The following is a 23,776-nucleotide window of genomic DNA, read 5'->3' as shown; positions in this document are numbered from 1 at the left end:
GTAAGCTACTGGACCTGTAGAGCCAAGGCCCAGGCCCCACATGTGCCCATATTAAGAATCAACCAGTTCATCCCCAGGCAGCACATCATTCCCTCACCAGGCGCTATGCCTTTTTGTCTCTTTGCGCTTCTACACCAGTGATTCTAAAACTTTAGCATGCATCCAGAAGGCTTAGTACAATGCACGCCAGTGAGCCTACCCCCAGCATAGCTAACTCAGCAGGTCTTGGGTAGGGGTTCAGATTTTGCATTTCTAACAATTTGCCGGGTGATGCTCATGATGCTGGGCCAGGGATCTCAGTTGGAGAACCTCTCCTCTATACGATTATCCGCATTTTAAAATCCAAAGCTCAGAAGTGTTGAGTAACTTGCCCAAAGTTTCATGCACAGCTAGAAACTTGCTTTCAAAATAAGATGTGGCTGAACTCATGATCAGCCCTTTGTGTTCTACTGTAATATCTTTGGTGCAGATTTCATCGTAACATTGTACCTTAAGTAGTGGTTTTATTTCTAGACTGGCCTATTCAATCACAGTAGAGTTGGACTCTCAAATCAAGAATGCTGCTACAATTGTTGGGCCCTTGGCAGGCAGACCTGGGAGTACAGGAGGGAGCAAAGGAAAAAGAAGACAGGTTCCTCTCTTGTCTTGCTACAGGGTGATTCACACTTGATGACAGCCTGAGATATCAGAATACAAAGGAATTGTCGTTGTATTAACTTAGTGGTGAATTTTGGTTGGGAGCCCATAGAAGGTAGTGATTACACACACACACACACTGGAGTCTGATCACCTGATTATCTGTTATCTGAGTTTGAGCCAGTGCAAGACACACAATAAGCTCTAAATAAGTGTCAGCGAATATGGTCAACATAGAAAGGGTTGGGGATGATGTCAACAACCTTAACAGTGAGATTCATAGCTGAGTTGCAGAGTCAGGCCCTTTAGAAAAACTAATCTTCATTTAGGAGAATGTTGCTAAGCTATTAGATCCATTAATTGTGTGTGGCATCATATTTCATCAACAGTATTTTTGCATCTTACTTTTGCAGTAGTATTCCATACTTCTGTTTACCTACATTTGGATTCAAGCACATTTTGCCATTGACAAATGATGCTGAAAGATTCAATGAAATTGTGAAGAATCAGAAAATTTCTGCTAATATTGACACACCCGAAGGTGGATTTGATGCAATTATGCAAGCTGCTGTGTGTAAGGTATGCTGAAGGGAGTGCTGTTTCACTCTGTTAACATAAAATTCATCTCTTATTAATAATTCTACTTCAAAAAGATTAGCTAATTTCCTTTCCTTTGATCTCTAAATTTCTATATTTCATATTTTTCTTAAAATACACAATTTTTACCAAATGTTTAATTAAATCATGTTGAAATGGGGACTGTCCTTTCTGCCTACTATTTGAATAATCTAAGAAAATTGTCGTGTTGGGAAAATTTAGTTGAAACAATAGCTATGCATGATTGATTTTCAAAGATCAAGATCAGATTAGTTTTTGGATTAATCATGATAAAAAAATCAAGGGTAGAACATTTATTTTAAAAAGTTAAAATGCTCTACGTCAGTATATGTTCATACATATGACTACATAGCTATTGTTTTGAACCAACAATAAGCTTCGGAAGTTTGCTGTCTCTACAACATTACAGGAACACTGCTCCTCCTTGACTGTCTGACAAGTATCCACAAGAATTATTCCCCTGTCTTTAGGCAACAGCCCTTCATGAAAAATATCAGGAAATAAACAGGGCTGAAGCTCCTAGAAGGTGGGAGGGCCAAGGAATTAGAGGAGGAAGGAAAGGGATAAGGTGGGATGGAAGAGCCAGGATGCGTTTTTACCCAATTAGTTCCTGGACTAATATTAATTAAAGGGGAGGGCTTTACTAAACACCAACAACAGACAATTTTAATTAACAGGACCTTCGGGCCATACTTTCATAAGCAATTCTTATCCTTGTATTAGGTTCATAATTTTTGGATGACATCATTGGAAAGAGAAATATGTGCCTAAATGTTGGGTGACATTTTAATGAAACAGGCTTACTCTGAGCCCCTTTAACATTGCATTTTGATGAGTTTGGCTTCAATTTGGATTTGGGACCATCTATGACCTCCTCTGCTCAATTTTTTTGGAGAATTGAAAGCTGGATAGTAAAAATAATTGAACTATGTAAAAGTCAAGATTAACTGCATACCGATTGTAGTGGAGCTATATTTTTCTGAAGCATAAATCATATGAAAATGTTATCCAGGAAAAAGCAAATGTCACAGAATTTCATGTTTTATTAAAAACATTAATATTATCAATTCACGATAGATAAAAAGGCTAAAATAGACTAGCAATATTATTTTTATAACCTAAATGTGTCCAAGCATAATTGATCCACACTCAATAAATGCCTGCCTCCCTCCAATATCACACAAATGTTTCTTTCTCACTGTAGGAAAAAATTGGCTGGCGGAATGACTCCCTCCACCTCCTGGTCTTTGTGAGTGATGCTGATTCTCATTTTGGAATGGACAGCAAACTAGCAGGCATCGTCATTCCTAATGACGGGCTCTGTCACTTGGACAGCAAGAATGAATACTCCATGTCAACTGTCTTGGTGTGTAACCTGCACTCTGTACTGTTTTCAGGGCTATAAGTAGGAGAACGAAGCAACAACTAGTGTAATACATGTGAAATAACATACACTTGGTGAAAGCAGTGCACATTTTCTAATGTGGGATTAACAAGTTGCCCCAGCTCGATTCTCACCATCCTCAGAGGTTCCCACCAGAGCATAGGTGGACGGTGGGACATGTGGGAAGTTAGATCTGCTATGAATCCCATGATCCCAGAACCTCCCCAACTTCTCAAAAATCCTGGTGCTGGTAAAGCAATACAGGCAGCTCATTCTATTCTCAGCCACAGCCTCAGAAAGGAGGGACCCAGACCAGAACAGTAGCCACATAGGATTTGCAGTGAATGATAGTCCTTGAATCAGGCCATCCTTTCATGTTCCATGGGTAACAACTAGTCAGGTATGGCTTGGTTGGTGCTTGTTAACCTTTGGCTTATTTTTTGTCATTTATAAAATGCTAGTGACATTCAAAGAAAACAGCTAACTCTTGTAAAACCAGGAAAAAATTTCAGAGCTCTTTGGACATGCATGATCTCCTCAATAGACCCCTATGTATCCAGCTGCTTTTCCTGAACAGACCATGAGGCTGCTATGCTTGTGCACATGTTATTCCCTCTGCCTGGAATATCCTTCCTTCCTAGCCTGCTGAGAAACTCTTCATTATCCTTGAAAAGCCAGTTCAGTCATTACTGCCCCCAGAGAGCCTTCTTTGACCTCTGCCAGGCTCTGAAGCAATTGTCTTTCCCTTCAGTTGCATACGCAGATGTGTTCTTGTGCATCTCTATGTAGAAATATGTTTTCTTACATCTGTCTGTCTTTCTTGCACAATCCTCAGGTCCAGACCTGGTTTATTATCTCTGTTTCCTGATAGCACAGTGCCTATAACACAGTGGGTGCCAACTAATGTATGAAATAGAGGCCGGGCACGTTGGCTCACGCCTATAATCCCAGCATTTTGGGAGGCCGAGGCGGTGGATCACGAGGTCAGGAGATGGAGACCATCCTGGCTAACACAGTGAAACCCCATCTCTACTAAAAAATACAAAAATTTAGCCGGGCGTGGTGGTGGGCGCCTGTAGTCCCAACTACTCGGGAGGCTGAGGCAGGAGAATGGTGTGAACCCAGGAGGCGCAGCTTGCAGTGAGCCAAGATCGCACCACTGCACTCTAGCCTGGGCGACAGAGCGAGACTCCGTCTCCAAAAAAAAAAAAAATAAAAAAATAAATTTGATTTCTGAAGCAGCAGTCTGAGATTGTCATATTTTCCCCATTTAACACTTGGGGAAATATGGTACAGAGAATTTAAGTGACTTCTTAGAACAATGCTGTGGAGGTGTAGGTGGGGGTGCAGGGGGAGAGAAAGAGGGAGACGGGAACCTAGAATTCTAATGTCAATTGGAAAACTATTCTCTAAAAACTCTTAACAGTTCATTACTCACTACTATTCCTTGACCTAAATTTCTAAATTTCGACATGAATGTTTTCCCCAAACATTTGATCAGTAGTATTCCCCAAATGTGTATATTCTTTAATCACATACTCTGCCTTTTCATATTACAATATCAGTGAGGATAGCCGCATGTTGTCTTTTAGTCAGTGAGGGGCAAGAAACTGGAAAATTTATCCCCTTTTCATTACCCTTTTCTTGCAACTTTTCAAAAGCACCACAAAAAGCTCCATTTTGAACGAGGCAGGTTCATAAAAGCTAACACTACTTATTGCCTAATATGAACTTCTCAGCTAATAAATGTTCAAGTTGTTCTTTCTGAATAAGTTGTAACAAATCCACAGAAGCCAGAGACCGTATCTATGCCTGCCTGCAACATAGCCCCCGGGTCCTCTGAGCACTTCCTGTGTACTCAAAACTCAGGCCAGATTCCTCAGGCCAAAAAATAATACAAGGTGGTTCCTGGCCTTGAACTTACAGTATGGTTGTGGGAATTAAACCAACAGATCTGATTCAAATAGAAAACCAGCTTCGCTCACCTTCGAAGGACTATGTGGTGTGATCCTGGCTACACACACACAGCAGCTAAGGAGTGTGGGAACACGTGGAGATAAGGAGGGACTGGCACTGGAGGGATTTAGGCATCAGCGTAAAGGATTTTTACGCAGTTGAAAAGCAGAGGAAATGGATAATATTTGGTATCTCTATTAATAAAAATCCAAATGTGATGGAAATCACATATGACATAGCCATTTGCAGTTGGGTAATTTATTGCAGTGTTTTAGGCAAAACTACACTTTTCTCTCAACTTGAACCTTGTGCCTAAAGAAGGCTTTAGATGAAAATACTCCAGTAGTACTAAGAATATGTGAATATTCCATATGAGTGTACAGGAGGGCTTATTTATCAGTGTTCCTCCCTTTGGCTGACTTCTCCCTTTGACTCCCTTAACATAATTAACATATGTTACTTATGTCATAATTAACATATTCTTAATTTAATTGTTAGCAGGCTAGTACCTCACTTGAGTTTCCTCTGTACATTATTCACATTTAGATTCATATAATGGGCAAATGCCACATAATATTTTCCAAACTTGAAAAGTAAAGTCCATATTCCAATTTAAAAATTAAGCTTCTTTTATTTTTTATACAGTACACATATCACTTGGGAACAAATATGCCAATGGAACAGAAGTACAATGTAGTTTTCAATTGTCCTGTAAAAATATTGCACGATTCCATGCAACCAACTTGTGATATTAAAATGGCAGTAAAACCAAACCCAAGGATTAGTACGGGAATGTCATAGTATGTCATACCTCAGCAACCCTCATTCCACCTCATCCAATTCCAATAGGAGTTTCAGAGCTACAAGAGTCACTTCAGTCATGTATATTATAGTCCAACAGCCCCTCCCTCGACTGAGGAATTCCTAGCCTGCTGGTAAGTGTCACTTAGAAGGAGAAGAAATGTTTGTCTACCCTTGAAAATAGGACACACTGTTAGTCTTTAAATAAATTTCAAATGGTCTTCTTAGAAGTGGCAGAGCATGATACACCACATCAACAGGAACTGACTCTTAGGACTTGACTGGATTTATAAGATTTAGAAAAAGATTATTAAACCAACTAAGTGAATAATGCTAATTGTGTATTTGTTTACTTAGAGTGATAGAGCTATAATGCCTGTGAGCATTGAAATGCCAAACTCAAAAAGGTATCTTTGAAATAAATATTCCTTTCTTTATTTACATTATTTTATTGAGATGATGCAAAATTATATATGTTAATTTTAGGAATATCCAACAATTGGACAACTCATTGATAAACTGGTACAAAACAACGTGTTATTGATCTTCGCTGTAACCCAAGAACAAGTTCATTTATATGAGGTAAGCAAAAATAACTTGGGAAATTCCTTCAAGGAGATTATGTGACATGAAACTTTAACATTAACTCTGTGAGTTTAACACATGGGAAGGCCATTAGATAATCATTAACACACACCAAATGTACTGGGCGCTTGGCTAAGTGGACTCATTTACTGCTTGCAATTTAAATTGTAAACACCTAGGTGCAGTAGGGCATGGGGAACTAATAAGGTGGGATGAGAAAGACTGAGTTAAGGAAATGAAACAGATATGCTGGAGGAGAGTATCAACAAATATAGGACAGCCTACCTAAAAGAAAATTTATTATCTGTCCCCTTGAATTATTTCATCTAATGAGGGAGTTAACAGAGAACAGAGAAAATCTTAAGAGTGGGAGCAGAATTGACTTCACATTCTTTGGCATTTGCAAATTAGATACTTAGAAAAGACACACACAGAGACACAAGCTATTGAGAATTGGAAAGTTAAAGGAAAAAACTTGTTATATGGGGCCAAAATACAATTTATCCCTTAAACCAGCTGGATTTGCAGCTCAAGTGTTTGAATGGAAGCACCAACTGCAAAAAGGGAATGGTTTCATTAGATGAAGTGCTGTCCCCAAACCACTGTGCAAACTGCAAAAAAATACGATATATGCACATACAAAAGATTTCTGTGGTTTTTTTTCCCAGCCTAGGAAAAATATGTCAAAATGCCCTGAATTGATTTACTCCTGCAGTTTTACAGAGAAGTAAGGAGTCTTTAGCAGGGGCCCTAAAAATAATGCAGAGAAATTAAATAGTCTGTGCCTTCTATGCAGAAGTGTCAAATGCTCCTAAATACAGAGTTTGATCTCTCATTCCTTTTGAAAGGACCTCTTAACTTGCTTGGTGACTTCACAGGGCTTCTGAAACTCTGAGATTATGTCACAGAAGGCTTTGATTAAATGCCACTCACTACTAAGGACGGTACAGCCCCATGAACTTGCATCAGGTTCTGTAGAAAGGATCCAGCAGGAGATGCTATCTTGCATTTTGAATGAGAGGAGGGTATTGTACTCCCAGGTGAGATTGCCTTCTGCTGCAAACCAAGGAAGTTCCTTGCAATCAAGCTCCATACTTGAAACCTGTGTTCTACGCAGAGCCCATGTGGGTTCACCTGATATGGGCATTTTCTTCAGGCTTTTTAGTATGTGATATTTGTTTCCAGTGGTTTTAAGTAGTAGAGTTGCAGTTGAGACTTTTTTAAAATACCCCCAAATACAATAGTGAGTCTATTCTGCCTTTGATCCTTAAGGCTAGTGTGAGAGGACCCTGGGGGTCACAACACCTTCTCCACAGCAAGGCTCCAGTTTAGAAGTGGGAGGAGGAGTTGCACAGAACTTTTCTTCAAAGGGGAGTCTGGGGAATGCGATTGATGATCGTGAACATAGACTACCATAACTCACTTTGGTAATAGTCTTTAAGACTCACAACTCATTTATACGTCTCCCCAAAACCGCTATTAAAAAGACAGAGGCAGATGAAAAATAACTACATGGCAAAACAGAGCCTGTCGGATTTAAGCTAGTTGCATCCATGATTCCCCCGTTGCAAGGGAAATGATCATTTCCGAGGAAAATGCCAGATTAGAGTCTGCCTCTAATGTAACAGCAGGACATCGATTTTGCCTGTCTTCTAATCTTATTATGAGGCGAATTTATGTTCTGTCATGATCTGTGGTCTTTACCATCCAGCCTTCACTAAATTCAAAGGGACATTTTCAAGGGGTCATACGACAGTCCAGGTCAGCCACCCACTCTATGACTGACCGTTTCATTGTTTTATTTTTATTTTGATGGGCTCATCATTCCATCTGCATTAGTAGGGGCAGGCAGCAGCCTGGCCTAAAGATAATAACAGCAACAATGCACATCCTTGAAGCCTTCACACAGCATGAAAATGCTGATCTTCCATTTTATTGATAATGAAAACTGAAAACGGTCCACTAATGGCTTGTGTTGCCTTTCAATTCACATCTTTTAGAAGGAGCCCTGTATGTGCAGGAGTCCTGTGCGATTTGATGTTTGGATAACTGCGATATAAGGAACGTAGCTACTGAAGAATCACTGAAAAATAAAACCAGTGATAGATAAATAAAGCAATTAAGTGGTTAGATTTCATGAAAATTCCAGAAGGAAAATTATTTGCCCGAGTTACACGTTAAGCATAGTTACTTGCCTGCACAGGCCACACAGGTTTAGGTTCAACGAAGGCCCTGTCTGCAGCAAATAAAATTTATGTTGCCCACTCATGGAATGCAGGAAAAATGACTGTTTTTTTTAGTAACTGTGGTAGAATGCTTTGGACCGCCCAGGTGTGTAGTGTGCCTGTACATTGTTGTAACAGAGATGAACAGTGAAAAGGATAAAGTAAGCAGTTTTGCTTCAGTTCAGTATGGCTGTAGTGTGCACCCCAGACTCCAGCCAACAGAATATTTTTGAACAAACTTATTATTATGAATAGTTTCCTGTTTGTCCAATTATAGGGTTCGAAAGATAATGATGATAATAGACTGAGCAGTGGGTAGTATATTACATTCTAGTGCTAACTACCATTTTGAATCAGGATTCAATTACCCAAGTTAAAAAAAAGTTTTTATATTTCCTCTGTAGTTTTAAAATGTTTACTGTTAATTTACATTAACATAGTATCAGGCCACTAAACCTCAACTGTCTTATCTGAATAGCTTCTCTTTCCTAGTAAGCTATTGAGATAAAAAGCAATTAAATCAACATTCTTTATGACATTGTCGAATCATATTATTAATCACTGTGGGCTATTTCCAAGGCTTTAAAATATCCTATAGCTATTCAAAATATCTACATCTGGCTTGAAAAGATGACTTTAGTGAAGTTAATAGCAATAATTATTATATGACCTGGTATTTGTGATGTAATGCTGAAACACAGCAATTGGAAAGTAAACAAGAAGTATACTGGTACTTCCAGTTTACTCACTAACTTCTATGACCACTGATTAATATCTCTTGGCTGTTAGCACAAAGCAATGTTTCTAAAGCATGAGAGAAGGGGAGTACAAGCAGGTTTTTATGCAGCCAAAGGGACCTTTCCTCTGGAGACAAAAAACCCTCAATCATTAACTGTTTGAGGAGAATAACAGGTCTTTCTCATCTGTTTAGGCCAATTCTCGAAACACAGTAGATTCTCAGTAGATATTTGTCAAATGATTTAAAAATTGCAATAACTGCACTTCATCTTTTCTAAAATTGGGTCAAAAGAAAGACTTGGAGTTTTGCGTGACAAGCACTTGTTAAGATTGAGGAAGCCCACAGACACAGAGCAAGTGGGGGCACCTGACCATTGCCAGAACCTTCTGCAGCCCTGGCTGTCCCTTCTTCCATCCCTCCCACATTGGATGCAGATGAACACTCTGCCATCAGTCTCAGGACCAACATGTTGGAGAAGCTCCACAGCCTTCTAGCAGGCCATAAAAGGAACACCCTGAGCAAGTACCCACCTGATGGCCATTAGATCTATAAACAAACATAAACAGCAGCCGCATATGCTATAAGCCTGATGTCCTTGTGTGGCTTGTGGAAATTATCCACCATACGTAAGTTTCCATTTTTCAGGAATCAATAACCCAGCTGTTATTTTACCTCTTCTTTCTTCTATTTGGTTCTTTTGAGCTTTTCATTGCAGCGAGGGAGGAAAAGAGGCAGAGAAAATAGAGAGAGAAAATAAAAATTGGACCCCTTTGCTATTTGTTAGCCTGTTCTATTATTGTTTTGTTTTATAATGTTCCTGTTGGAAAAGATCAAAACAATTTTGCTCCAGTGGAAATCTCTTTATCTCTCTGGCCTCAGTTTTTAGGCAATAAAAAAGACTGGGCGGGAAGATTTCAGCCTCAACAGTCAATGACCTTGATTCTGGAGGAGGGAAATTACCATGAATTCCAATGACCTCCACACAAATAACAAAGTTTAGTAAGCTGTAATGTAGCTAATTTTAGGGCATAGTCTAGATATTCTTTATCCTATCAATCTCATTCTGTAGTGGAGTATTCCAAACTTGTGATTTTAGTAAAAATAAAATCATCTAGGAGTAAAACGACCACTTCTGGATTATGAGACATCTCCATGGAGGTAATAAATTGCTCTTTATTTAAGTGTAATGGAAAGTATTTTCATTTCTCCTTAATTGATAGTATCTGGGAACAAAGACTGAGGAGGGCCAGCTGCCTACACTTTCCTTATTAATGAAAACATCCCTTAGAGAGGGAGGTTTTGGAAATAAACCTTATGTCCTCAGATTATCAGTCAGAGTTGTTGGGAGTATTTTCCAATCCTAACCATGAAAAATCATCAGTTACCCCTTAGATCACACATAGTACTTTTCTTCTAAAGAACTCAAAGCCTCATAACTGAGAAAGTAAACACAAGAAAGAAAAAGGTACAGGTTTAAAGCAGGACCTTAATGAGATGCCTGATTAGGCCAATACTTGTAGAAATATAAAATGGGATTTTTTTTTTTCTTGAGAGAGAGTCTCACTCTGTCGCCCAGGCTGGAGTGCAGTGGCATGATCTCAGCTCACTGCACCCTCCGCCTCCCAGGTTCAAGTGATTCTTGTGCCCTAGCCTCCCGAGTAGCTAGGATTACAGATGTGCGCCACCATGCCCAGCTAATTTTTGTATTTTTAGTAGAGACGGGGTTTCGCCATGTTAGTTAGCCAAACTGATCTCAAACTCCTGGCCTCATGTGAACTGCCCACCTTGGCCTCCCAAAGTGCTGGGATTACAGGTGTGAGCCACTGTGCCCAGCCTAAAATGGGATTTCAATAATGCGAGATCTAAATGCTTTGAGATTTACAGATTTACAACGCACAGGATATCTAGCATATCATTGAAACTAAGACGCTATAGACTGCATAGTCATTCATTCCTTCATTTCTCAAACATATCATGAGTACCTCCTGTGAACTATGCCAAAGTTTGTGACTATAGAGAAGAATAAGACGTAGTGCCTGCCTTAAGAAGTCTCAGAGAGCATCAGCAGACTTGTAAACTAATATTTTGCCTATAAAAACAGAATGAGGGCATTTTAGAGTTGTGTTCTGGAAAGAGACTCCAGCTGAGGGGTCAGAGTTTTCATGTCTGTCAATGTTTTTACTCTTTTCTATTCACTATCTTTCCTATAAGGAGCAGCAAATTAATCGGCAATCATAAAACTGCTTTTGATGCTAACAATATCATGGTGTTGGACCAAGCCCTTCACTTTATAGGGGTGAGGGCTGGTGATGATATGCAACTATGACTATGATAATAATAGTGTAATAGGGAACGTTTGTCAAGAGCTTATTAGGTGGCACCCTGGAGGTTCAGGATTTTGCACTCATTTTATCATTTAAACTCCTTCTTATGCAAATTGCATGTAAGAGCCAAGATTTGAACTCAGATAATCTGAATCTACAGTCTCAATCACTGAGATAACTCACAATTGAATCACTGAGATAACTCACAATTGAACCTGCTATAGTGAAAAAGCAGACCACTAGACCACCAGACACAGATTTTAAAATAATCACCTTTTTTTTTTTTTTTGAGACAAAGTCTCCCTCTGTTGCCCAGGCTAAAGTGCAGTGGCACAATCTCAGCTCACTGCAACCTTCGCCTCCTGGATTCAAGAGATTCTCCAGCCTCAGCCTCCTGAGTAGCTGGGATTACAGGCGTGTGCCACCATGCCCAGCTAATTTGCATGTTTTTAGTAGAGACGGGGTTTCACCATGTTGGCCAGACTGGTCTCGAACTCCTGATCTCAAATGATCCACCCACCTCGACTTCCCAAAATGCTGGAATTACAGGTGTGAGGCACTGCTCCTGGTCAAGCAACCAGCTTTAAAAAGCATAGAATTCAAGGGTAGAGCAGAGCTGCCTGACAGCTAAACCAATAGATGAATTCCCTGTAAATTGCACAGTGCTTTAAGATCAGGAAATACTTCATCTAGGGTTCTTCCCTATTGCTGTTAATTTGGATGAACAGAGCAATTTAAAGATGCATAGACTTGAAAAAAGACAGACACTTGGATTCTGCCCCGTGGGTTGTTTAAGCTCTGGGTGGTAAGAACAGGCCACACAGCTAGGGAACACTATGCATTGGGTCAGCACATCTAAAACAGCTACTGTCTATGGTAATCACAATCTATGGTTCCAATCAAAGTGAGAAATTGGGGGCACGTGGTCTGACCAAGACTATAGGTTTATGATGAGCATATAGTTCAAGCATATGGAAAAATGGCGTAATATAATAAACACTCGGCCGGGTGCAGTGGCTCACGCCTGTAATCCCAGCACTTTGGGGGCCGAGGTGGGTGGATCACCTGAGGTCAGGAGTTCAAGAGCAGCCTAGCCAACATGGCGAAACCCTGTCTCTACTAAAAATACAAAAAATTAGCAGGTTGTGGTGGCATGCACCTGTAATCCCAGCTACTCGGGAGGCTGAGGCAGGAGAATCGCTTGAACCTGGGAGGCGGAGGTTGCAGTGAGCCGAGATCGCACCATTGCACTCTAGCCTGGGCAACAAGAGTGAAACTCCATCTCAAAAAATAATAATAATAAATAAACACCCACATACTTATTGCCAGTTTTCTCACATTTTAACATTTTGCCACCATATTTGCTTTGGATTTTTTAAACAAATGAAACAACCCAGATCTAGTTGCATGCTGTGTAACTGCCCAACTCTGGTCTAGTTCCCCTGTCCTTCTACAGAGGTAACCAGTATCCTGAACTTAGTGTTTGTCATTCTCACATTTGTTTTTTGTGCTATTAAAAATATGTGTGTGTGTATATATATACATATATATATGTACACATATATGTACATCCATAACTAATTATGTAGTTTTGGCTTATAAGCTTAATTTCATGCTGTACACATTATTTTTACCATTTGCTTTTTGACTCAATGTTATATATTTGGGGTTTTTTATTATATTTTCTTATTATGGTAAGATACATATAACATAAACTTTACATTTTAGCCATTTTTAAGTGTTAGTTCTGTGGCATTAAGCACTTGAAGCACTCTGCCATTTATAGAGAATTTATCTATTGGTTCATCTGCCAGGTATTAAAACTTTGTTAAGCTCAATGCTCTGCTTTTGAGGCTTGTCCATGGAGATACGTATAGCTATAGTTTACTCCACCCCACTGCTATGCACGCTCCATTCACAGTATTACTGGCAATGTGTTCATTCTGCAAGTGAGGGCATCAGATCACTTCCAGTTGTGCAGCATTACAAGTGTTGCAGCCATGCACATCTTTGCACACATATGCTCTATTGAGAAGTGAAATCCTTGGGTCACAGGGGAATGGCATCTATAATTTTACTGAGTTTGTCCAAGTTGCTTTCCGAAGTAGTTGTATCAGTTACTCTCCCACCAGTAATGTAGTGTGGAAGTATGACCAAAACAAAATGAAACTTTAAGTTACTCTTTTTCTGATTATAAAACTAATATATACTATTTGCAAAAAGAAAAGTGAGGAGGAATACAGAAAACCCAAAGAAGAAAACAAAGATCACTCATAAACTCACCACTCAGACATAGCTAACATTGTTGACATTTTAGAATAAGTTTTTCTGGCCGGGCATGGTGGTTCATGCCTGTGATCCCAGCACTTTGGAAGGCAGAGGTGGGTGGTTCACTCGAGGTCAGGAGTTCGAGAACAGCCTGGCCAACATGGTGAAATCCCGTCTCTACTAAAAATACAAAAATCAGCCAAGTGTGGTGGCATGTGCCTGTAGTCCCAGCTACTTGGGAGGCTGAGGCAGGAGAATCTCTTGAACCTGGGAGGCGGAGGTTGCAGTGAGTCGACGTCATGCCTTAATCGTACAATTAAGTATGTTCAAACTTTTTGAATGTTTATACATGTATAATCTTATAAAGGCATACAAATTAAATTGCATGTAGTTATACATCAAAATTTTTATTGATGAGAGTAACTATATGAAATCAAGATCATCCTACAAAATTCTGAGCCTATAGTTGCCATACTTATAGGTGTCTACTTTAAAATAAAAGCAAACTTGTCCTTTCCCACCAGCAGCCCAAAACCTGAGCAAGTACTGCATTTTTACCTCCTGGGTTACTTTTACATATTCACATAATACTTAGTTACTTTTTTATATTAATAGGACCAACAAATTATTTCCAGTATTCATTTTCTTATGCCTGAAATTGCCCCTTTGGTGAAGACTTTGACATCTGTGAACAAAACTCCTCTCTGAGCTGCTAACTGCTCAAAGCTGTGTAATTACCCTTCTCCGCTTTCTCTGGGTCTCACAGCACAAGGGCACTCCTGCATAATTCAGTTACCCATGTATCCCCTAAAGCCTTTCCTATGGTTGCAGTTGGCCACTCTATGTGGTGTCTGTGAGGCTGGCCCGGACTGTAAGTTTGAAGGGAGCTCACCCAGCTTGTATCACTATGCAGGAGTCTAACAGCAACCAAGCATTTTCCACGTGTCATAGCCTTTGAAATAATCACATATGGCATCAAGGCACAAAAGGACAAGTGAAACTGACAACCCCCGGGACATAAGAAGAGTTTAAGAGTATTTTCTATTTTCATTTTATGTCTGATTATCCAGAAAAGCCCCAAATATCCTACCAAGGGACTAGTATTAATGATAACATAGTTTAACATTTTGTTGTCTTGGCATTATTGAATCTTCAGAAAATAAACAGAAAATTTTGGAATCATTATTTGTTGAGCTTGAACAGTTGAGGTAATTATTTATAAATTCAAGGGTTGGCACACTTTTTTCTATAGAGTTTTCAGATTCAGCACATAAAAATCCAGGAGATCCAGTTAAATTCGAATGTCAAGTAAGCAACAAATAATTATTAGTATAAATATGTCCCATGCAATATTTGGACCACATGTACACTAAAAATTTTTCATTGTTTCTCTGCTTTCCAATTTATCTGAGCATTCTGTATTTTATCTGGCCGCCTATCTACAAAGGGTCAAATAGTAAGTTAGGCATTGTGGCCACATGGTTTCTGTCATGATTATTCAACTCTCATTGTAGCATGAAAGCGGCCATGGACAATACATAAATAAATGAGCATAGTTATTTACAAAAACAAGCAACAGGCCAAATATGGCCCGTGGGACATAGCCAATCCCTGCCTTCGTTCATTCATTCTACAAATATTTATGTGTTTTCCGTGTGTCAAGCACTGGACTAGGCCCTAGGAGTATAGAGGAGAATAAAAAAAGACACTGTTTTGTCCTCATGGACTTGTAATCTAGTAGGGGGAAATAGACGAGAAACAATTAATGAAAAAACAACCAATTACAACTTTTAATAGTGTTATCGAAGAAATGGAAAAGAATAGTGTGCAGCCATGGACCATAATTAAGGGGGAGAAAGTGAGACTTTCCTTGGATAGAATTTTCATGGAAGGTGCCTTTCCAGAAGTGATAATGAGGAAGCGAGCTGAAGGCTGAGGAGTTTTCAAGAGGCAAAGGCGTGTGCAAAGGCCCTGAGGCAGCAAAGGACTCAGTTCCCAGTGTGCTTGAGAAAAGGAAAAAAGGCCAGTTGGCCTGGAGTGAGTAGGGGTAGAAGGAGATGGAGCGGGAGAGGTAGGCAGAAACCAGACCCTTCAATCTTGAAGGCAGTGGGAAGTAAGCAGGGTGCTATTCTATGGGTAGCAGGCATCCAAAAATACTTTTGTTGCTGGGTATAGATGTCACAGGTATATGACAGGCTGAAAACCCTGGATAAACTGTGGGTATATAGATTTAAAAACCTAATGCCTTTATTTTCCAAATCACTACAAGCCCTCTGATAGACTGTTCTACACCAGCAGTTCTCAAACTTAGGTGCTCATTAGAATCAGGTAGGGAGCTTTACTAACAAACCCAATGTGTAGGCTACACCCTGATCCAATTGAGTTAGTATCTCTGGGGCTGAGACCCAGACACCAGTGGTTTTTTTCTTTTTATTTTCTTTTTTAACTGGTGTATCCAATCAACCTGGGGGACAGGGACCTCTTAAAATGCAGACTGTCATTCAAGAGGTCTGGGCTGGGGCCTGAGAGTCTGCATTTCTTTTTTTTTTTTTTTGAGATGGAGTCTCACTCTATTGCCCAGGCTGGAGTGTAGTGGTGCGATCTCAGCTCACTGCAATCTCTGCCTCCTGGCTTCAAGCGAGTCTCCTGCCTCAGCCTCCTGAGTAGTGGGGACTACAGGCGCACACCACCACACCCAGTTAATTTTTGTATTTTTATTAGAGACGGGGTTTCACCATATTGGCCAGGATGGCCTCGATCTCCTGACTTCATGATCCACCCCCCTCAGCCTCCCAAAGTGCTGGGATTACAGGCATGAGCCACCGTGCCCAGCCAAGAATCTGCATTTCTAACAAGTTTCCAGATGATGTTGCTGCTGTCAGTCCACAAATCACACTTCGAATATCAAGAGCTGAAGCCTCTTTTGCAGTCCTTGCACATACACCTACTTGCTATTTTCTCGTCCCCTTCATTTTCTTCCTACTAGTCATCCTTCAAAGTTTTATTACCTGCCGTTTGGCCTGCAAAGCACATAGGCTGCTACTGAACCCCACATCACTTCCTATTTTAAAAGAGCTTTCTAAAGCTTTGGGACTTGAATTAGTCAGCAAAGGTCTGCAATTCCTCTCCAAAGGCAAGGTAATCTTATTAAGAGAAGATCTGAAGTATCCTTAGGAACAAAATACTCAATGTAGCCTCTTTGTTCTCTAAGTCTCCATTCTCCAGTGCCTCTCTGTGCATTTGTTTGTCTCAGAACAGTCATGCACGGTGGATCCATTTGTCTTCCCTTATCACTCTGTTACTGCTGCCGAGCACTCGCTCAGCTGTGTGCTCCAGCTTCTTGGCTGACAAGATAATTACATTCTGGGCAGACTGGGAGAAAGACAGGTAGTGCTCAAAAGTTCCGATGCCGACAACCTAGTCATTGCTGGGGCAGACTTCAAGATCAAGCACCTGATCTAATTAGCACACTCCCATCACTACCTGCCTGCCTATGGAATGCTGACAATCGAAAGCCTGAAGGCAAAGCAGATATCATGCAACCCAGAGACAGACATTCATGCTACCCTTGTGCCAGGAACAATTACATGTTCTTTTTGGAATCTTGGGTGTCCTAGTAACACAGTTGAGCCTGGGGGTAAACTTTTGCATAATACTGGAAGCCCTGCATTTACTGATAATGAACGTGAGAACCAGCAGAATAAAACCCCACAAGAATGAAAGACCTCACGGGAAGAAAGCCTTCTGAAGAAGGACTCATTTCAGCAAACCCAGTCCGCCCCTAGCTCTGGAAGAAGCACATGGCTCCATAAAAGCGAGGTTTTGCCAGCAAAGAGCTGTTTTTCTTTGACCAGATAAATAGCACAATACATTCCCCTAGGATTTTTTTTTTTTTTTTTTTTTTGCCTCTGTGCTTTTGCTACTTCCTACATTTCTTTCAAAATGTAGCCTTTGACTTTGAAAGTCATTACAGCCACAACGCTTTTTCTCCTTTTCTTTTTGCTCTGGGTAGAAAAGTGCTCTATAATCTCTAAATCCTTATAATAAGTGTTCTATAATCTGTAAGTTCATATATAGACATAGGCATGTGTATATATACAGCATTATTATCTTAAATTTCTAATAAGATTCCCACCCTCACTTGCTGCTGGCATTTGCACTAGTTTCTCTGGCAGAGGCCTGGTGGAGAAGAGTGAACCGTGGCTATACAGTCAACACCTATTTCTACCATGTATTACATCTGTGACTGGGCAAGGTACTTACCTGTCCAGTTAAAACTAAGGCTTTAGGTTAAAGAAATCAAAAGAACCCTAGTGCAGTGTTATGGTTTGAATCATGTCCCCCTCTTCCTTTAAAAAATATGTTAAAGATCTAATGCCCAGTACCACAGAATGTGACCTTATTTGGAAACAGGGTCATTGTGGAAATAATAAGTTAACCTAATAGGAGGTCATACTGGAGTAGGACAGACCCTTAATTGAATACCACTGGTGTCCTTATATGAAGAGACACAGAGACACCGCCACTTGAGGGAGAACATCATGTGACAATGGACGCAGAGACTGGAGAGCTGCATCTACAAGCCAAGGAGCTCCAAGGATTGCTGCCAGAAGCTATAAAGAGGTGGGCATGGAGCTCAGACTTCCAGCCTCCAGAACAGAACAATTTCTGTTGTTGCAAGCCACCCAGTTTGTGGGACTTCGGCAACCCAAGGAAATGAACATACCCAGTCAGGCTTACTCATTAACCTCCCTTGGAGGTCAAGAATGACATCACAAGTCGAAGATAGCCATTGCCAGGCACCTAACAGAAGTGATGTGGTTAAGAAATCTGGCTCTAGAAAGAGAATATAAGGAAAGAGGATATGAGTGTATGGGTTCAGCCCTACTACTTCCTGGCTGGATGACATCAGGAAAGTTAACTACACTTTCTGAGCCTCAGGATCATGGCCATAAAACAGGAATAATGATGGTACCTAAATAATAGAACTTCTGTGAACAATGAAAGGGAACAACTGTGAGGTCTAACGGTTAGCTCTAGCTATTCTTTTCCTGGTGGTGGTAGGAGGCAGGTTTTGGGTACCTTTAGCTTTGTCTGAACTGAGGGTTCCCTGAGCCCACTAACCCTGAGTAGATAAAAAGCAATGTGGTCCACTCCCCCATGCATTCCTGCCACTATCCCGAGGCTATAACAAGGTCTCTTCGAGAGCCTTGGGTTTCAGAGGATGCAGGAGGTGCTTGGGGATGTCAAGAGGCTTGTGAGGACCTCTCAATCCTGTTGTAAGGCCCCTGAGTTGGCAACTGCAGCTCCTGAGGAAGGGGAGAGGCATAGAAAGAGGCAGATGAGATTCCTGTGAGAGCCAAGGAGTCTGCTGGGTCTACACCTCCCTTGGCTTTGTCCTCGGGTAGAGGAATCCATGAGGAGCTGATGACTCCTTGTGGTCAAATACCCAACAGAACTGAGCCCCTTTCAGAATTACCTGCACTTTCTGCAATTTAAGTGGCATCTTGATTACCCGGAAGCATCCCCTTGATGACAACAATGATGAATCCTTCTCTATGCATTTGTCTTGGAATAGTCATACATTCTGTTGGCCCATTTCTATAGGAGTAGAATTGCTAGATCACAGAGTGTGCTTATGTTCAGCTTTAGTAGATACTGCTAACTAGTTTTCCAAAATAGTTGTACCAATTTACACTTCTACTACAAGTGTATGAGAGCATTGTCAGTTTTGTAATTTTAGCCATTCTAGTGAAGTGAGTGCACAGTGGCATCTCATTGTGGTTTTAATGTATATTTCTCTAGAGATTCCTGATGTTGAACACTTCACATACTTATTTGCCACTTGCATATCCATTTTGATTAAGATGTCTTCTTCTTGTTGATATGTAGAATCGTTTAGATATTCTGGCACCATGTCCTTGGTTACATGCTTGTACTACAGATATTTTCCTCCCACTGAGTGCCTCCTTCTCATACTCTTAAAGGCATCTTTTGAGAATAAAATTCTTAATTTTTAAAAACAAATTTTTCAAGCAGTTTTAGGTTCACAGCAAATTGAGTAGAGGGTATAGAGAGATTTCCCATATACCTACTCTCTCCATAAATGTATAGCCTTCCCCATTATCATCATCTCCCACCACGGTAGTACATGTGTCATAAATGATGAACCTACATTGATACATCATTATCACCCAAAGTCCAGAGTTTACATTAGGGTTCACTCTTGGTGTTGTACACTTTATGAGTTATGTACAATTATTATGTATCCACCTTTGTAGTATCGTACAGAGTAGTTTCACTGCTTTAAAACTTCTCTGTGTTCTGCCTATTCCTCCCTCTCTTACTGGCCCCCAACCTCTGGCAACCACTCATCTTTTTACTGGCTCCACAGTTTTGCCTTTTCCAGAATGCCACATGGTCAAAATACTACTGTATTAGTCTGTTCTCACATTGCTATAGAGAACTACCTGGGACTGGGTAATTTATAAAGAAAAGAGGTTTAATTGACTCAGAGTTCTGCAGGCTGTACAGGAAGCATGGCTGTGGAGGCCTTGAGAAACTTACAGTCATGGAAGAACATGAAGGAAAAGCAGGCGCGGAGAAGGAGGAAGAGAGAAGGGGTTTGTGCTACATGCTTTTAAACAACCAGATCTCATGAGACCTCACTCACTATCACGAAAACAGCAAGGGGAAACTTCACCCCATGATCCATTCACCTCCAACCAGGCCCCTTCTCCAACATTGGGGATTACAATTCAACATGAGATTTGGGCGGAGACCCAAATCCAAACCATACCAACTGCCATATGTAGCCTTTTCAGATTGGCTTCTTTCACTTAATAATATGCATTTAAACTTTCTCCGTCTTCTCATAGCTTGATAACTCATTTCTTTCTAGCTCTGAATCATGTTTCATTTGATGAATGTACCACAGCCTTTTTTTTTTTAAACTATTCACCTACTAAAGGACATCTTGGTTGCTTCTGGCTTTTGCCAATTATGAATAAAGCAGGTATAAACATCTATGTACACGTTTTTGTGTGGACATAAGTGTTCAACTCTTTCTTTTTATACTTTAAGTTCTAGGGTACATAAGCACAAAGTGCAGGTTTGATACATAGGTATACATGTGCCATGTTGGTGTGCTGCACCCATCAACTCATCATTTACATTAGGTATTTCTCCTAATGCTATCCCTCCCCCAGCCCCCCACCCCATAACAGGCCCTGCTGTGTGATGTTCCCCTTCCTGGGTCCAAGAGTTCTCATTGTTCAATTCCCACCTATGAGTGATAACATTCAGTGTTTGGTTTTCTGTCCTTGTGATAGTTTGCTGAGAATGATGGGTTCCAGCTTCATCCATGTCCCTAAAAAGGACATGAACTCATCCTTTTTTATGGCTGCATAGTATTCCATGGTGTATATGTGCCACATTTTCTTAATCCAGTCTATCATTGATGGACATTTGGCTTGGGTCCAAGTCTTTGCTATTGTGAATAGTGCCACAATAAACATACATGTGCATGTGTCTTTATAGCAGCATGATTTCTAATCCTTTGGGTATATACCCAGTAATGGGATTGCTAGGTCAAATGGCACTTCTAGTTCTAGATCCTTGGGGAATCACCACACTGTCTTCCACAATGGTTTAACTAATTTACACTCCCACCAACGGTGTAAAAGTGTTCATATTTCTCCACATCCTCTCCAGCATCTGTTGTTTCCTGATTTTTTAATGATCACCATTCTAATTAGTGTGAGATGGTATCTCATTGTGGTTTTGATTTGCATTTCTCTGATGGCCAGTGATGACGAGCGATTTTTCATGTGTCTGTTGGCTGCATAAATGTCTTCTTTTGAGAAGTGTCTGTTCATATCCTTTGTCCACTTGTTGATGGGTTTTTTTTTCTTGTAAATTTGTTTGAGTTCTTTGTAGATTCTGGATATTAGCCCTTTGTCAGATGAGTAGGTTGCAAAAATTTTCTCCCATTCTGTAGGTTGCCTGTTCACTCTGATGGTAGTTTCTTTTACTGTGCAGAAGCTCTTTAGTTTAATTAGATCCCATTTGTCAGTTTTGGCTTTTGTTGCCATTGCTTTTGGTGTTTTAGTCATGAAGTCCTTGCCCATGCCTATGTCCTGAATGGTATTGCCTAGGTTTTCTTCTAGGGTTTTTATGGTTTTAGGTTTAATATTTAAGTCTTTAATCTATCTTGAATTAATTTTTGTATAAGGTGTAAGGAAGGGATCCAATTTCAGCTTTCTACATATGGCTAGCCAGTTTTCCCATCACCATTTATTAAATAGGGAATCCTTTTCCCATTGCTTGTTTTTGTCAGGTTTGTCAAAGATCAGATGGTTGTAGATGTGTGGTGTTATTTCTGAGGCCTCTGTTCAGTTCCATTGGTCTATATCTCTGTTTTGGTACCAGTACCATGCTGCTTTGGTTACTGTAGCCTTGTAGCATAGTTTGAAGTCAGGTAGCGTGATCTCTCCAGCTTTGTTCTTTTTGCTTAAGATTGTCTTGGCAGTGCGGGCTCTTTTTTGATTCCATATCAACTTTAAAGTAGTTTTTTCCAATTCTGTGAAGAAAGTCATTGGTAGCTTAATAGGGATGGCATTGAACTTATAAATTACCTTGGGCAGTATGACCATTTTCACAATATTGATTCTTCCTATCTATGAGCATGGAATGTTCTTCCATTTGTTTGTGTCCTCTTTTATTTCATTTGTAGTTTGCCTTGAAGAGGTCCTTCACATCCCTTGTAAATTGGGTTCCTAGGTATTTTATACTCTTTGTAGCAATTGTGAATGGGAGGTCACTCATGATTTGGCCCTCTGTTTGTCTGTTAATGGTTTATAGGAATGCTTGTGATTTTTGGACATTGATTTTCTATCCTGAGACTTTGCTGAAGTTGCTTATCAGCTTAAGGAGATTTTGGGCTGAGATGATGGGGTTTTCTAGATATACAATCATGTCATCTGCAAACAGGGAAAATTTGACTTCCTCTTTTCCTAACTGAATACCCTTTATTTCTTTCTCCTGCCTGATTGCCCTAGCCAGATCTTCCAACACTATGTTGAACAGGAGTGGTGAGAGAGGGCATCCCTGTCTTGTGCCAGTTTTCAAAGGGAATGCTTCCAGTTTTTGCCCATTCAGTATGATATTGGCTGTGGGTTTGTCATAAATAGCTCTTATTATTTTGAGATACGTTCCATCAATACCTAGTTTATTGAGAGTTTTTAGCATGAAGGGTGTTGAATTTTGTCAAAGGCCTTTTCTGCATCTATTGAGATAATCATGTGGTTTTTGTCATTGATTCTGTTTATGTGATGGATTATGTTTATTGATTTGCATATGTTGAACCAGCCTTGCATCTCAGGGATGAAGCCAACTTGATCATGGTGGATAAGCTTTTTTGATGTGCTGCTGGATTTGGTTTGCCAGTATTTTATTGAGGATTTTCGCACTGATGATCATCAGAGATATTGGTCTAAAATTCTCTTTTTTTGTTGTGTCTCTGCCAGCCTTTGCTATCAGGATGATGTTGGCCTCATAAAATGAGTTAGGGAGGATTCCCTCTTTTTCTATTGATTGGAATAGTTTCAGAAGGAGTGGTACCAGCTCCTCCTTGTATCTCTGTTAGAATTCGGCTGTGAATTCGTCTGATCCTGGACTTTTTTTGGTTGATATGCTATTAATTATTGCCTCAATTTTGGAGCCTGTTATTGTTCTATTCAGAGATTCAACTTCTTCCTGGTTTAGGCTTGGGAGGGTGTATGTGTCCAGGAATTTATCCATTTCTTTTAGATTTTCTAGTTTATTTGCATTGAGGTATTTATAGTATTCTTTGATGGTAGTTTTTATTTCTGTGGGATCAGTGGTGATATCCCGTTTATCATTTTTTGTTGCATCTATTTTATTCTTCTCTCTTTTCTTCTTTATTAGTCTTGCTAGTGGTCTATCAATTTTGTTGATCTTTTCAAAAAGCCAGCTCCTAGATTCATCGACTTTTTGAAGGGTTTTTTGTGTCTCTTATCTCTTTCAGTTCTGCTCTGATCTTAGTTATTTCTTGTCTTCTTTTAGCTTTTGAATGTATTTGCTCTTGATTCTCTAGTTCTTTTAATTGTGATGTTAGGGTGTTGATTTTAGATCTTTCCTGCTTTCTCTTGAGGGCTTTTAGTGCTATAAATTTCCCTCTACACACTGCTTTGAATGTGTCCCAGAGATTCTGGTATGT

General features: G+C 40.1%; 1 protein-coding gene across 7 annotated transcripts in view; it reads left to right on the top strand.

Annotated features, from left to right (window-relative positions):
* ITGB6 (integrin subunit beta 6) overlaps positions 1 to 23,776 on the top strand; it is a 100,602-nt gene that overhangs the window by 25,084 nt on the left and 51,742 nt on the right. For all 7 annotated transcript variants that reach the window (NM_001282353.2, NM_001282354.2, NM_001282390.2 and 4 more), the window contains 3 exons: positions 1,050 to 1,215; positions 2,459 to 2,620; positions 5,882 to 5,977. In NM_001282353.2, coding sequence (NP_001269282.1) covers positions 1,050 to 1,215; positions 2,459 to 2,620; positions 5,882 to 5,977 — 424 coding nt within the window. The remainder of the gene's footprint in view (positions 1 to 1,049; positions 1,216 to 2,458; positions 2,621 to 5,881; positions 5,978 to 23,776) is intronic.

The sequence above is a fragment of the Homo sapiens genome, chromosome 2 (assembly GCF_000001405.40).
Source record: "Homo sapiens chromosome 2, GRCh38.p14 Primary Assembly".
Classification (NCBI taxonomy): domain Eukaryota; kingdom Metazoa; phylum Chordata; class Mammalia; order Primates; family Hominidae; genus Homo; species Homo sapiens.
This window is presented reverse-complemented; position numbering and strand designations above follow the sequence as displayed.